Consider the following 15,846-nt stretch of genomic DNA (forward strand, 5'->3'; position numbering starts at 1 on the left):
CTGTATCGGTTTGATTCCAGGCATGCAGGGGTTGCATAGAGACTGAGTAGCCAAGGTCAGTCACGTGGGTGACTCATACCTCCGTGACTGACTCCCTTCTCCTAACAAAAACCCTGGACACCAAGGGGCAGTTGGGTTTCCCTGCTATGTTTTGTCACACATCATTGCTGGGAGAGTTCAGTGCTATCCAAGTGACTCCCCCGGGAGAGGACAACTGGAAATTTATGCCTGGTGTCTTCCTGGACTCCGACCTATGCACCTTTTTCCTTGGATGATTTTAACCTGTCTCCTTTTGCTGCAATGAACCATAACCATGAGTATATCAGCTTTTCTAATTTTTGTGAGTCCCTCAAGTGAATTATCAAACCTAAGGTAGTTTTGGGACCCCCATCACAGAGAGTCAAACAGGGGCAGGGCAAGAAGAGCTGCTTTTCCTGGAAGGCTAATGAGTCTGAACTTCGCCCTGGAGGTAATCGTTATAGTAACTCCAGGCTCTAACCTGGAGCTGACATGATAAGGTCAAATGTACACCTCTAGAAGACTTCCGACTGCAGAGGGGAATGGATGGGGGAGCTGAGGGAGGAGAGCTGAAGCAGGAAGACCATGGCCTGGAAAGAGATGGCTGAACCAGTCCAGGTAAGAGCTGGTGGGCCCTTGGTAGTGGGCAGTGGCCACGGCAAAGGACTAAACTCAAGAGACAGAAAATAGATACAACAAGACTTGCCAGCCAATTAGACTGTGGGGTGAGGGAGACAAGTCAAGGACGACTCCCAGATTTCTGGCCTGGGCAATTGGAGGGATGATGAAGTCAGTCACTGAAGTGAGAAATCCTGAGTGGGGAAGCTGATGTTCAGGGGCTTGAGGGAGGTTCTGACCCCCAAGCCCAGCCTGGTACTTTCACTGTGTTCATTTCTACAATTCAGGAACCATCCGATTGCTCTTTTTTCTCTCCTTGAAGCCATCCCCTTAGCCCTCTGCCCACAGTGATCACTAACTGATTGCTCCTCCTTAAAAGCCACCGAAAAGTGTGCTTGGCTGATCTCCCTGACCTCAATTTCTCTGCTGGCAGAATCACAAGAAAGGCATCAGCACCTTCTGTGAAATGGGGAGCCATGCAGAGGAGGTGCCCAGGTGGGTGGCAGGGGCCTAAATAAACCACAGCTATGCGAGGAGGTTTCAAACACCAAGTGCTGGCGGGAGATGGGGATCCTGGGCCAGACCCTGGGGAGGTGGGACTAAGATCCCTGTGACACTGGGTTGGAGTTGGGGGCAGGGTTGAAGGAAATCATGAGAAACAAAGGCTCTGGGGGCTGCACAGAACGTCTCCCCTTGGCCTGGGGCTAAGCTGCACTTTATGCATTTCCAGGTGGCGAGGAGTCCATGTCAGCTGCCGTCATCCACACCACAGATCAGACATGGCAAAGAGTGGCCAGGCCTTCTGAGTGAAGGTGATCCAACCTGTCACCAAGCCTAAGGGCAAATCCTGGCTGTGCTGTGATGGCTCCAACAACCCCAAACAGCAGCGCAGAGGCTGCAGCCGCCCTCGGAGGCAACACTGGGAAACGCTCATTAGCAGCCTTCCATTGCTCACCCGCCCCATCCCACCTCTGTGCATCCCAGATCATCAGCGAAGTGCACAGCTGGCTTCCATCCTCGGAGCCTTCCTCCTTCATTTGCCTATTCAACAGTTACAAAGGCCTGAGTTGCAAAGGGGCTTACAACCCATTCCACCCAGAAGAAAGAGAACTGAGACTGAGCAAGACAGAGAATAGGTGGAAGGGGAGATGAAACCAAGCAATCTCTAGATCCCAAATGGGGACCCTGATGTAGCAAGAGCCTCTTTTAAATCCTTTTCCAATAGGGTAATATGGAAAATAGTTGAAAGCACAAGCCAAGTGGGGCTGGAATCCCAAATGGGCCATTTACTAGCTGTGTGACTGGACAAGTAATTTCATATTTCTGGGCCTCGATTTTTCTCATCTGTAAAATAGAAAAAAAAAAACCTATGTCATAACGTTGATAAACAGATTAGATGAGCTAAGATCTAAAATGTCTTCTATTCAGTAGGTGCTCAATAAATGTTATCTATTTTTACGATTGAGTCTCTAAGTCTGGAGATTAAGGAGGAAAGTTTCACATGCTGGGTTCTGCAGGTAATACAGTGAGACATGGTTTCTGTACTCATGCTCCTAACTTAGGTGGCAACAGCTGAGAGGATAGTCTGAGGCTGTGCAGGGCTGAAAGCCTCCTGAGAGGTCATCTGATCCCCTATTTTCATGGGTGAGAAAACAGAGATGTAAAACAACCTTCTCCCAAAGTCAACAGCAAGATAGTGCCAAAGTCAACACTAGAACCCAGGGCTCCAGGCTTCTATTGTTCTTTCCCCTCCAATAAAAACCTAATGACAGGATGCCACAAGTCAGGACGTGAATAAAATTTCAAATAACTTGCCATAGAGAACACTGTGCCCTGTCCAGATCCCTGTTCCCAGGCCATGTACCATCCCTTGGCTGCTTTGGGTGGTGGCTACCAGTGGCTCACAGCTGCCCTGTCCTCTGGAGAATTGCCACCCCCACCGTCCCCACACCCAGCTGATGAGGGAGATTATACCCAGTGCTGTGTTGGCAAATGTTTAGCAGCCACTTTCTGGTGGGGTAGGAGGAGCCCTGGCTTGAGTATTTGCCACTTTCCCTGGTGTAAATATTCCCACCATGGCCGACTCCAAGCTCCCAGCAAGACATCACCGAAGGTGGAGTTGTGGAGAGATGCACATAGCTCTCCATCACATAGTGTTTCCACCATAAAGATCCAATAACCAAAAATAACTGCAAGTGCACAGATTTTTAAAACTGTAGTAAAATAATTAGGAAGTGATGACTTTTGAATATGTATTTCCATTGTTTCAGCATTATTTACTTAATTATAACTTTACATGATTTAATTGTTAATAGTGGCTCACAACGTTCCTAAAAACGTGACCACCACAAGCTCGTAAGGGTCAGGTCCAACACAACACTGGTTTACCCCCACTCCCACCCTGCCAGCCTGAGGCCAGTGACTGATGACATGAGGATACAAAAAGCTGGCTGTTCATCTCATCTAGGGGTGAGGAACAACTTGTGGTGTGATTAATAGCAGAGCTCCCATGGATCAGGCCCAGACTAGGATTACCTGAAGCCACTTCCTCCCTCAGCTCCTCCCCCTCCCCATCCTTCTGTTGCCACCTCCTTACAGGTATTTCCAGAAAGGCACACCAATAAACAGCATGCACCCAAGGCCCCGTCTCAGGCTCTATTTCTAAAAAACTCAACCTAAGCCATGCACACTGGCTCACACCTGTAATCTCAGCACGTTGGAAGGTCAAGGTGGGAGGATCACTTGAGCCCAGGAGTTCAAGACCAGCCCAAGCAACACAGCAAGACGCCATCTCTACAAAAAATAAAAAAATTAGCCAGGAGTGCTGGTGTGCGCCTGCAGTCCTCGCTAATCATGAGGCTGAGGCAGGAGGATCACTTGAGCCCAAGAGTTTGAGGCTACAGTGAGCCATGATCACACCATTGCACTCCAACCTGGGTGATAGAGCAAGACCCTGTCTCCAAAAAAAACAACAAAAAAGAAAAGAACCCAATCGAAAATACTTGTACAGAGTGAAAATTTAGGGAGAAAATTTAGAAAAGATCATTGTGGCTTTGGAGGAATCCCAGGAAGCTTTCTGCAGGAGGTGGGATCCAAAGAGTGGGTAGGATTTTGATTTGGAAATGAAAGCCAGGAACCCTCCAGACGGAGAGAGCAGTTTAATCCAGGTGAAACCAACAACCATGCATTTGACAAGTCCGTCTGCCCAGCGGGGCGGGGTTTTCCTAGAGACAAGCCATGAGCCCTGGGGACCACCCATTAAGGACTGCCAAAGTTGGAGGAGGGGGCGTTTCCATGGCTACGGTGTGATTAAGAAAGATGTGTGGCTCTCTGGCAAGGGCAGTATGGTGTGCTAGTTTGCACTAGAAACATCATCTGTACCAAAACCTTTGGAGCCAGAAGGTCGTCTTTGGATCATTTACTGCCACTGATGGATGAAAGCTTTCAGTTGTAAAAGAGTAAATACAGTATATTTGTTTTAATAGTTGTGTTTTATGTTTTCTTTGCTCTTATTTTTGCTTTTTCTTTGTTTTTAATTTTTTAATTGAGACAAAATATACATAACAAAAAATGTGCCCTCTGAACCAGCCTATCTTTTGTCTTAGAGTTACCTCCAATATACAGCATCAATGCTGACTTTTTATTTGCAGAAGTTTGTAACATTTCCCTCCAAAACAATTTGTACAGAATAGATGGATCAGTTTCAAGAAAAATATGCAGAAAATAATAAAGGTGACATAAACATGGAAAAATGCAAAGATAAGAGACAAAAACCCTAAATTTTGCAAACTAGTCCAATACTCTTATTTTAAGATAGCAAAGTTGCACCCAGATAAAGTAAGGGAACAGCCAAAGGTCAGGCAGCCAGTTAGGTGCAGAAACAGGATTAAAACCCAGGTCTTCTAATTCCCGTTTCTACATTTTCCACTCTGGCATGATTTCCATTTTAAAGAAGGAAGAAAAACAACATATTCTTTTCTAAAACACACCTCTCCAAAGTTTTCGTCCTCCCCATTCAAAGATGCACAACAGAGAACATACCAGGTTCTTTTTCACTCACGACAAGAAAAGCCACCTTCCCTTTTAAATCAGCCTCAACGATGGTTTTCAGGGTAGAAAAGGGATTCGTATAGATGACAGGGTGTACTGGCCTAAAGAGGACACAAATCCTCTAGAAATCTGTCACCCCTGAATTCATCATTCTGCTAACATCAGATGTCAATGCTAGAAAGGAAAGAAAAGTTGGCATTTTCATGCCAGCCTCTGCCTCTAGCTGTTCCACAGGACATGCCTGTCAAAGAGGTGGCCCGTTTTCCAAACTAAAATCTACAAGCAAAGTTGGTTTAAAAGTCATCCTGCTGAGAACTGTGAATTGGGAGATTGGCTCTGCCATGAAATGGCTGTGGATCTCCAGCCTCCTTTCTTAATCGCTCCAGGTCTCGGTTTACCCACTTTCAAACAGAGATAATAGTTCCTGTTTATTTCAATATCAGTTAAATAATCACTAAACGCTTGACAACTTCACAGTTTGCAAAATGTTTCTTCTCATTTTGTAGTGTCTCATTTAAACCACACAACTGTGTCATATGGGTATTATTATTTAACAGATTGGGTGACAGACTCCAGAAGACCATGTAACTTGTCTATAGTTGTGAGTGGCTCTGAAACCCAGATCCTGTGATCCCAGATCATGCATCTCAGAAGTTTAGAAGTACATCACCGGCATTTTCCAAAGCATATGCTTCAGAATCCCTGTTCTCTAACTACATTGTTATTAGTTATTACTTTCTAAAAGAGGTGTCATAATCAAATAACATTGTGTTAAAAGTTTAAAGGGCTTCCTTCACAGCCATGGGACTTTAATATGAATTGTGTATCTCCAAGAGGGAATAGAATATGAGCCTTTCCAAAACTTATTTGTCAAATTACCCAATTTAGGTAGAATCTCTTTCTTAAAAATAATATTCCAGAGAATATTTGGGAAATACAAAAACTATCCTATTGTAGTTATTCTTCATTATATTATGACTTGCAGGTAGGTTGTCTGTTGCTTTATAGAAACTAGTAAACTGTGTTATCATACAGGGCACAGGCCTTTCTATAGAGACTGTCTTTCAAGTCTGTAACAATTAGACTGGTCACAGCCTATTTGCTCCAAGGAACACTGGATGACAAGGCTTTCTGTCATTACATCTGATTTATGTTCAGATGTTTCCAAAAAAGTTGAACATTCTTTATATGTCTACATGGCCTTAGCTACATGTCTCGGGCAACCAGTATTTATTTAATGTTTGTCGTGCCTTTTATCTGTGTTTTATTATTTCTCTACATAGGCCCACTGAGTCAAGGAAGACATCTTCTTCTTCAGAGGCTGTTCAATTCCCACATGCAGTGATGAGGAAGACTGGGGTAATAAGGAAGGAATAACTCCCTCTCCTTATACAAGGTTCTGGGAAGAAACCACGGGGCCAGCTTCCTGGACTTACAATCTACCTAGCATTCAGTAGCCAGTGCTTGGTTTGGTGCTGTGCCAGTACTGTCTTGAAACTCTTAATTTTTGAAAAGGGGCTTTACCTTTTCATTTGTACAGGGCCCTCCAAATTAGGTATCCAGTCCTGAGCAACCACTGTTTAATTGTAAGCTCCATGAAGGCAAAGACCATGTCTGTCTACTCCCAGCACCTGGCATTGTGTCTAGCACAGGATGAATACGTCAATAGGTGCAAGGAAGAGGTTGCAGGGCCCAGAGGCCTTGTCCTTTCTCTCCCCAGCAAACGGGGCTAGGACTGTCCTTTCTTCTAAAGGGCATTCACATGTAAAACAGGCCCAGGCACCAAACAAGAATGAAAACTCATACACAAACTGGAGGAATCGGCCAGCACAGAAAATTAAAACCCCAGCCTGTAGAAAGACAAGCAAGAAAAGACGGGCAGCAAGCAGACACACTGTCCTCTCTCTCCAGATAATGGGACATTTTCCAGCACTTCTCGCAGCGACAGCCAATTTCAGAACAGAATCCTGACCTGAATGTGGCGCATTTTCCTTCCTGTCCCCATCCAATATCTGCCCCCCCTTCCCATCCTTTTTAAGCCAGCTATCTCCAATCCCCAGCACCTCTCAGCTGCTAAAAGCCTGAAAGGTTTAATCTCCAAGAAGGATGCTCAAGGGCTCCGTTATCAGAGTTACTTAATTCTGCATTTGCAATGGGCTTAATCATCTGCATCAGAGCACACTCCCGCGACTCACTCACACGCGCTACCTCTCTGCTCCAGCTGAAAGTTCTTCTCACTTCATCAGCACCTCAGAAGCATTCATAAATGCAAATGTGTACCGGCAGAAGTCAGGGTGGAGGGTTCGGTTTTGTTTTCCCGTTTTTCAATCACACCAATGTGCTAGCAACGCTGACTGAGATTTTTTTTTAAGCCATGGCATTTTACCTCCCACCACCAATCAAATGGTTTCCAATGTCCTTTGTTTTTTTCTTTGTTCACTTTATATGACTGCTGTGACAATACTTTCCATGTGGCTCTATCACCTCCAGAGGCCTCATTTCTAATGGCTGTATAATATTCCATCAAAGAGTTGTAACATTATTAAATAGGTTCTGCTTTTGTTTGTTTTTTATTATAAATAGTGCTACAATGATCATTTTCGAGAGCATGGGATTTAAAGAACTGCATTCAGTTTTTGGCTGTGTCTCTTCCTAGTTATTGAGTCCCTAAAGGGGAAGCAATCGTATTCTCTAACTCAAAGCATGGCTGATGGGAAAGTGCTTTATAAACTATATGAGCACTCTACAATTATTCATTCTTTCTCGACATACCAAGCCCCATCCAAAAAGATTTACAAACACATGGTCTCTGTCCCCTGGAAATGTGCCATTGAGACAGACACCATTGAGCTCTTAAATAAAGGAACAATGACAAAAAAGAAATGAAAAACCAGTATAAATGCTTAAGAAAAAAATCAAGCCTTCAGAAAGGCCTTATGAATTGCAAGTCACACTGTCAGGCCGTAGGTTGGCTAGTAACCAGGAAAATGGCATTTAAATGCAAGTTGATTAAAGGAGAGGCTGACAATATGGTGGCTGTATGCAAGGCATCGCCTGTGTGCTTGGAGGGGAGCATAGCTACAGCCAAGAAGGTAAACTGTGTCCCATGAGGACTCATACCATGAGCTGTAAAAAGAAAAAGTATGTGTCCTTTATATGTCACCAATATACTTTGTTTTTAAGATAAATAAGCTATATTATCAAAACTAAAATTGTTTCATTTGTATAAACTTTAGAAAGAACCTATATACAGTAAGAATATGTTATTAATATTTAGGGGGTTGGACAAGGATTCTTTCATTCACTCAATATGTATTTGTTGGTGCCTATGACATGCTATTTTGCTATATTCTAGCACAAATAGAAAGATGAAAAAGACAAGCTCCCAGCCAAAAAGGAACACACAAAAGACCATAGTAAATGTGAGTAGTGCCATCCTACAAAAGCACCTGCAAAATGTTATGGAAGCAATAAGGAGAAAGCAAGTAATTCTGCCCCCAAAAAGGCGTGGGCTGAAAAGGTCTCACAGCTGAAGCCAGTTTTGACCTGGGTCTTACTGGATGAGTAGTTTCCCAGGCAAAGAAGGAAGACCATGAAGGAGTGTGTGCCTCCCTGGGATAGAAAGCAGAAGAAATTTCCAGATCCCAAAAAGACAGGGTTCCAGGCAGAATTGTTCTGCGCAGTCCAAAGACCACGTACATCAATATTACCTGGGGTGCTTGCTTCAAATGCAGATTCCCGGGCTCCACCATAGACGTATTGAATCCCGTGGTGGGGCCCAGCAATCTACAGCTTACTAAGGTCCTTAGGCCAGGCTGACACACACTCTCATTTAAAAACCAGCAGTACCAGTAACAGAATGGCACTTTCCAAACAAAACTCAAGTCATGACTACCCAGAGATGATCAGCTGCCAGTGGTTTGGAAATGCACCGAGGGAGGCCCTGGAGCAGAGGAGGGTCAGCATGTTGGCACCTCCCTCAAGCCAATTCCAGAGGCCTCCCTCTGCTCTTGACAATCAGCCAATCCTGGTCCAGATGGATATATTCCCCATTCAGGCACACACCATTTTGTTGGCTTAATATTGGTTTTCTAATAGGAAGGCTCGGTGACAACAGACCAGACATGAAGGACGGTGACGGAAGCCAACCATGCCCCACACTTGCCCTCTCAACCACCACCTTTAACCCACAAATCAGGCTGGCACCCCCAGCCCCCAAGACCTCAGGTGAGGAAAAGGGACTGTAAGCTCCTCCGACATCCACTGGCCACTGACCCAGTGTTGAAGCCCAGGTGATAGAAAAGCCTGGAAGCCAAGGCAGATGTTCAGCCAAATTAAGTGGTTCCAGGAGAAAATGAAAACTTGCCTGCTGAGACATCTGGTGTCCATTAACCTCCTAAGCAGAACTGCAGCAGAGCCATCTGCTGGAACAGACTCTCCAGAGGCAAGGAGCGTCCCCGCCCTGTGTGCCTCTGCCTGCTCCCAGCAAAGGCTTGGCCTTGACAAGAGAGGAAAAGACCAGTCCACTTGCCTTCAGGACCCTATAACCGGTTCCTTCCTAACTAGGGAGTCAGCAGGAAGAACAGTCAAGAGACGCCTTATGAGGCTCCAATCACCAATGACTTGGCGTTTGTCATCAGGGAGAGTACACTGACATCAAGGAGAGCTTATTCTGTATCAAGTGCATGTAACACTCAAGGAGACACGTTACAGAGACTTGAGTGCTACTGGAGGGATGTAATTCTTAAGTTGCCTAACTGATAAATAAAGAGAAAGGAAAGACACCAACATTTCATGAAGACCTACTATGGGCCAGGCAATGTGCTGTGCATTTTCAGATCCATGTATCTCATTGAATCCTTACAACAACTCTGTGCGTTGGGTGTTACTATTTGCATTTTACGAATGGCAAGGATAGGCTTCAAACTCAGGCCTTTCAACTTCCAGAAAAAAGTCGAATGCTTCTTTTGCTAGAGGACTGTGCCACAGTGAAGCCGGTTTCTTTGGTTTGGAGGATGGGGGGAAGGGAGGCGGGGGAAGGGTTATAACAAAAGCTATTTGTGGGGCTATAACAAAAGATTATGCATGGATGGGGTTTGCTGCCTTTGATGCTTTTGAAGATGACCAGACTAAGTCTTGAAATGTATCCATAGAAACAGCTATGGCGGGAGCAGCAGCCAAATTAGCTCGCCCTTGAGGCAGTTGGACTGGGGACTCTGGAGACTCTTCCTTGATGAAGGAAGAGTGGTATTAGTGCCCACGTTATCTGCCAGCCTTGGCCTCTTCTGTCCCCATAGCTGGACCAGCTGAAAGCTCAGCCCCCTCCCAAGACACAGCCTATCCAGACACCAAGCTTTCCATGAAGCTAAGCCTTCGTCACCCTCTAAGCCCCAACTCCAGGGAGCTGAAAACCCTCCTGGGGCAGCTCCTGCACAGGATACCACTCTGATGTTCACTAGCCTGCCCTGCTCCAGCAAAGACCTGCACTCTAAAGTGAACTCTTGTCTGGAGCAGAGGTTTCCCTGCCAAGGCACAGACCTCCACATGGAAACTGCCTGCCTGCCCCACCCTCGAGCCCCCTCCTGGATTCCTGCCCCATCTCTGCTCACCCCCTGGAAACCCTCTGTCCACTCTGTGGGAACCCCTGAGCTGATGCTGGGCCTGAATCTCCCGCAGGCCTGGGACTCTGTGCCTCGCAGCTGAGGCTTCTAGTGTTGTCCCTGCTGGAGTCCATGCCCCATGCCAGGAGGGCAAGACCATTTCCCCAGCTGCCCACAGTGGCTGACAGCTCCCAGCGGAGCCCCTCTCCAGAACATGCTCTAGGCTGAAGTAAGCCTCCTTCCTTTCCTTTTGTGGGAAAACCAACTGCAGTGACTGGTTGATGGGAGGGCATAAAATTCAGCCACTTCTCCCCAAGCCAGGCCAACTCCAAAAGTCACCCTAGCTTCAGCAACCCTTGTGGGATCAGCTGAGGCTTTCCAGCCCAGTTCATCTTCTCCTCTGCCCTCCTCCATAGACACCGATCCTGAGAGTAATCCTCAGGGAACTTATTGCACAGAAGTCTCTGACTCCCAGTCTGTTTCTCGGGAATCGGGTCTCATAAAGACATTTTTGTCCTCTTCAAACTGGAGGGCACCATATCCCATGCCCCCACCAGCTATGTCCCTGCAGCTGCAGCTTGTCACTATGACCAAAACAATCACCCCCTCTCCCAAGCTCAGGAGAATCACCCTGAGCCTTGAACTTGGATTCTAGTGCTAACTCTGCCACTTAGGTGCTGGGCACCCTGGGAAACCACTTAACCTCTCTGAATCAATTTCCTATCTATACATTGATAACTAAACACTGGGACAGTTATCCTGAGAGTTCACAGACATTTACAACTATCTTGTTCATTTATCAAATATTAACTGAGAACCGACCACATGTTTGTTTCCATCCCTCAGACCCTAGCCTAGATGTCACTTCCTCCAGGAAGCCCTCTACAGCCCTCAAAGGAGAGATCGAGAACTCTTCTGTGCTCCTGCACCCTCTGCCCACACCCTTACTGCAGCTGCTACCCTCTAAATTGCAATTGTCTGCTTTTTGTCTTTCCCTTATATTGGCCCCTGAGCTATAAGGGGATGGAATGTGTTTATTCAATATTGTATGCCCCTGTGCCCACCTCAGAGCCTGGAACATGGTAAAGGTTCAAAACTATTTGGGAACTAATTAAGTAATAAAGCTAGGTGCTACAGAAAAAGCAAAGGTAATACTGTGTTCACATAGCCCTTTACAACGTGCAAATGGCTTTCATACCCGGGATTTCATTTGATCCTCATAACAACCTTGTAGAGTAGGCAGGGCAGGAACCATTTTCCCTGCCCTAAGTGGTTCACTCACTGATGGGGCCTGGTCTCTGGCCTGCTAAGGCAGCATCTCTGGCCCATTCCCCCACGCCCCACCAAAACATGAGAGGAGGATGTAGATATTACCGCTACAGTTTGACACCCTAGGAAGCACTTGTCTCCACCACCACCACCCCTAGCCCTGTGGCTTCCATTATTCAGGGACCAACACCTCAGCAGTGAATGAATGAAACCATCAAACACCGGGAACCCATCTTGGAAACTACTTAGACCCCAAGTTAGAATACTTCTTGTGACAAAATTCCAAGGGAGTAGGGCCCTGTGTGACCCTCAGAAAAGCTGGAGAAGGCAGAGGGCCTGCCAGAAAGGCCACAGAAGTGACAGCCTCAGGGCCTGGACACACAGCCCTGGACAGAGCCTTAGCCAGGAAGCAGTGGCGTTGACAGAGCATGAAGAGAGTTCGGAGGTCACCAGGCCACTCCCCAGGCCTCCCTGACTGCCACCCCGCTCACTCCTGGGCCTGGGCTAGACATGCCTTTGCCCCCACGGCCTTGGGCTCTGAACTGATCTCTGTTTCTGTGACAAACACTGGCTGTCTCAGCTCCCTGCAGATCTTATCCGTTGGGAGATAAAATGGAGGAGGGAGGGTGTGTACACAACAGCTTTCTCCTAGCTGCAAAACAGAAATTCTTTTCTCCTCTGCCCCAGAGGGGGAAAACATTCTACACCCAAACGAGGTACCAACTCTCCCTAAGGTCTTTTTTTTTTTTAAGTCCTAAGTGAATGCATGATTTTTCCCTAAAGAAACTGTGGTAATACAATTAGCGATACACAGAAGGCGTAAGCCGGGCAATCACAGGCCCTCCCTACCCCCAGCCCCAGCCTTCGTAGGAGTTAGGCTTTGAAATGAAGAAATCTATTGTCGCTGGGGAGCACGGAGCTAAATCACAAATCCCAGCAGAGCGGTGACGCTGAAAACCGCCCTTTGTGGAGGCAGCCAAGAACTGCACGTTAAAGGCTGGACGTTACTGGCAGCAATGCCCAGGCCTATTCTACTCTTGGCTTGTTTAAGCTTCCATGGGCCATAAACATTGATCACCATTTAGACTACAGCACCTTGGTGATGTAAATCACTTGTCAGCCTGGAGCTCTGGGAGAGACAATCTCCCTTCGGATCCCAGACCCAGGAAGGGGCACCCAGAAAGTTGCTGATTATGATTCGAAAATGCGCAGTGAACACTACACCAGCGCTGTCCAATCAAAACACAAAGTCACAAGTGTAATTTTAAATTTCCTAGTAGCCACACTAAAAAATTAAAAAGGGGTAAAATTAATGTTAAGATATATTTTCTTTAATACAATATGTCCAAAATAGTATTACTTTAACGTGTAATCAATATAAAAAATTATTAACAAGATATTTTCTATTCTTTTTATTTGTATTAAGTTCTCAGAATCCATCGTGGATTTTGCCCTTGCAGCACGTCTCACACGGGACTAACCACATTTCAAATGCTCAATAGCCACATGTGGCTTGGTGGCTACCATGTTGGATGGTACAACTATCACGTTTACAGAATATATCTAATTGGTCTTTAAAACAAGCCTCCTGAAGTAAGCATTTGCATCACCACACAGAGGACAGAGCTGAGACTCAATAAATGAGTCAGCCCCACCCAAATCTAGAACCTACATCTCCTGCCTCCTGGTCCTATGTGCCTATCATTTCCCTGTGCTCAAGCAAACCAGGATAAAAACTATGGCAAAAGTAAGTCCAGTGCTTACAGAATGCAGGTGCATTATTCAACAGATAGCCAAGAGATGGAAGCAACCCAAATGCCCATCATAGATAAACAGATAAACAAATGTGGTCTAGCCATACAATAGGATATTATTCAACCTTAAAAAGAAAGGAAATTCTGACACATTCTATAACGTGGATGAACCTCGAGGACATTATGCAAGTGAAATAAACCAGTCACGAAAGGTCAAACAGTGTATGATTCTACTCATACGGGGTACCTAGAGTAGTCAGATTCACAAAGACAGAAGTAGAATAGGAGTTGCTAGGGGGTTGGGGAGGAGAAGGGGAACTAGTATTTAATGGGTGCAGAGTTTCATTTGGGGAAGATGAAAAAGTTCTGAGATGAATAGTGGTGACGGTTGCATGACAATGTGAATGAACTCAATCCCAATGAACATACACTTAAAAATGGTGAAAACTGTACATTTTATCTTCAGTATATTGTAAATAAATATTTAAAATGAAGTAAATTTTATCACAACAAAAAGAAAAGCTGTAAAAAAAATGCAGGCTCTGTGCTAACCTCTACGTGCATTATTGCATTTAACCCTCACAACAAACCTACTCCATAAAACAGGTACTGTATTATCCCTGCTTTACTACTGAGGAAGCCAAGGCTTAAACACAGTAAGCGAATAATTCATGGTTCCACAGCTGACTGGTGCGGAAGCTCAGGGAGTCTGATTCCCGAGCCCATGTTTTCAATATGGCTTCCCACATGAAACTTCTCTGATCCTCAAATAGACTCATCATCTATTCTCAGCACAACAGTCACAAATCCCCCTGACTGTGCCACTGTCCTGCATGGTTATGGCCCCTCGATGCCTCTCTGACCTCATCTTCTATTTCTCTCCCTTGGCTGATGGTGCTCCTGCCACAGCAGCCTCCTGAATCTTTCTTAAACCTGCTAAAAATGCCCAGGGCCATGGCACATGCTGTTTCTCCCACCTGCAAAACACTTCCACTGAGATCTGCATGGCCAGCTCACCCTTCATTCAGGTCTTAGCACAAAGATCCCCTCACCCCAGAGGCCTCCTTTGTCCCCTCTCCCTAAAACAGGACATTCTCTCCAGCCTCCAGCCCAGCACACCGCATCCCCCTAGTCTCTTCAGTCTCCTTCATCGCACCTATCAGTGCTTAACATCATAGTATGTCCTTATTTGTCTATTTCATGACAGTCTGCCTCCCGCTCCTGAGGTAACTCCAGGAGGGCAGGGACTTTGCTTTGTTCATGCAGTATCCCTAGACCCTAAAATGGCACCTGGCACATAGTAGATGCTCAGTAAAGATTTGCTGAATGAATGACTCAATGGATCAACTTCAGCTGATCTTCACATAGGGTGACCAACCATCAAGGCTCAGGGATGGAGGGGGTTCCTAGGATATAAGGTTTTCAGTGGGGAAATTAGGAAAGTCCCAGGCAAATCAGGATGAGTTGGGCACTCCATCCTTCTAACACCTTGCTTTAAGTACCGTTGTCCCTATTTTGCAGAGGAGGAAACTCAGATCCAGAGATTAAAGAACAGGAGCTGTAACCAAATGAACTTTGAGTTCAGTTCCTGCAAGCCGGTTTTATAACCCCATGGTTTCTACTGTTTAGAGTCACACACCTAGACAGTGGCAACAAAGAAAGAGAGTGCTTTGGGAAGAACTAGATTTGGGTTGAACCTGAGATCTGCTATCCACTGACTCTGGGCAAGCCATTGAGTCCTAAATCTCAAGTGCTTTAGCTGCAAAATCAAGCAAGTAATCCCAACTCAGAGGTCTATCATGATCATCTATGTATTATAGATTGGGCTCCCTGGGAAGCAAACTCGGAGATGTAGACTACCATACAGGAAGTGTATTAGGATGTGCTGTTAGTTTCAAAACCCGCGGGAGGGAGGAGAAGGAAGAAGGATTGAGCTGAGCAAGAAGCCAGGCCACACTACAGGTCCAGTAAAGGCCTCAGCAGACTCCACGGGGAAGCACTGAAGCTGAGGTTGGCCCTTTGGAGTTGTCCCAGGTTGTGGTGAGGTAGCCGGGCCTTTGGGAAGGGGATGTGATCTTGGGTGAGGCAGCTCTCTTCAGCAGAAGCAATTCTCCAAGAGGGCAGGCGGCTGAGAGCTATCATCTCACAGTAACTTCCCGGACCTGGGGATATGTCCTTCAATCCTGACGAGGGAACTCTGTGTCCACCACACCATGCAACACATGAGGGATATTGTTGTTGTTGCTCTTATGGAACATAATTCCAGGCCAGGCCTGTCTCACTGCGGAGTCTGAGCTCCTTCTGCTCTGTTACCTGAACCTCTTGTGTTATCACTTCAACCTTACTTCCAGCAACGTCTGAACAGATCCCATCTCCCTATCCAGACAGTGAGTCCTTTGAGTGCAGGGCCCGCAAATGATTCATCTTTGTGTGGCCCCCTCCCACAGTTGCACTGGGCACCGTAGCCTTCCTGAGGAAGCAGTGAATGAGCAAGAGTATGTCCACCCTTTCCCAGACCCCCGAGATGTTTATGGGTT

At 46.1% G+C, this 15,846-nt stretch overlaps 1 protein-coding gene and 1 long non-coding RNA gene across 12 annotated transcripts in view, besides 3 other annotated features; one reads left to right on the forward strand and one right to left on the reverse strand.

The window, feature by feature from the left end:
• SRGAP3 (SLIT-ROBO Rho GTPase activating protein 3) overlaps nucleotides 1-15,846 on the reverse strand; it is a 382,437-nt gene that overhangs the window by 211,769 nt on the left and 154,822 nt on the right. The window lies entirely within an intron of this gene.
• SRGAP3-AS2 (SRGAP3 antisense RNA 2) lies at nucleotides 134-2,094 on the forward strand. 2 transcript variants are annotated; one of them, NR_121663.1, is made up of 3 exons: nucleotides 134-636; nucleotides 1,070-1,131; nucleotides 1,367-2,094. It is a non-coding gene; the product is annotated as an SRGAP3 antisense RNA 2 (long non-coding RNA). The 2 variants fall into 2 exon arrangements; NR_121664.1 differs by lacking the exon at nucleotides 1,070-1,131.
• Nucleotides 9,861-10,361: an enhancer, noted in NCBI's record as "H3K4me1 hESC enhancer chr3:9243904-9244404 (GRCh37/hg19 assembly coordinates)". NCBI's record gives its function as "activates a minimal SCP1, AML or CMV promoter by ChIP-STARR-seq in primed H9 embryonic stem cells {active_cell/tissue: H9 hESC(primed)}" and the evidence as "EXISTENCE:reporter gene assay evidence [ECO:0000049][PMID:30033119]".
• Nucleotides 10,362-10,862: an enhancer, noted in NCBI's record as "H3K4me1 hESC enhancer chr3:9244405-9244905 (GRCh37/hg19 assembly coordinates)". NCBI's record gives its function as "activates a minimal SCP1, AML or CMV promoter by ChIP-STARR-seq in primed H9 embryonic stem cells {active_cell/tissue: H9 hESC(primed)}" and the evidence as "EXISTENCE:reporter gene assay evidence [ECO:0000049][PMID:30033119]".
• Nucleotides 11,534-12,038: an enhancer, noted in NCBI's record as "H3K4me1 hESC enhancer chr3:9245577-9246081 (GRCh37/hg19 assembly coordinates)". NCBI's record gives its function as "activates a minimal SCP1, AML or CMV promoter by ChIP-STARR-seq in naive and primed H9 embryonic stem cells {active_cell/tissue: H9 hESC(naive and primed)}" and the evidence as "EXISTENCE:reporter gene assay evidence [ECO:0000049][PMID:30033119]".

Source organism: Homo sapiens, chromosome 3, assembly GCF_000001405.40.
Source record: "Homo sapiens chromosome 3, GRCh38.p14 Primary Assembly".
Lineage (NCBI taxonomy): Eukaryota > Metazoa > Chordata > Mammalia > Primates > Hominidae > Homo > Homo sapiens.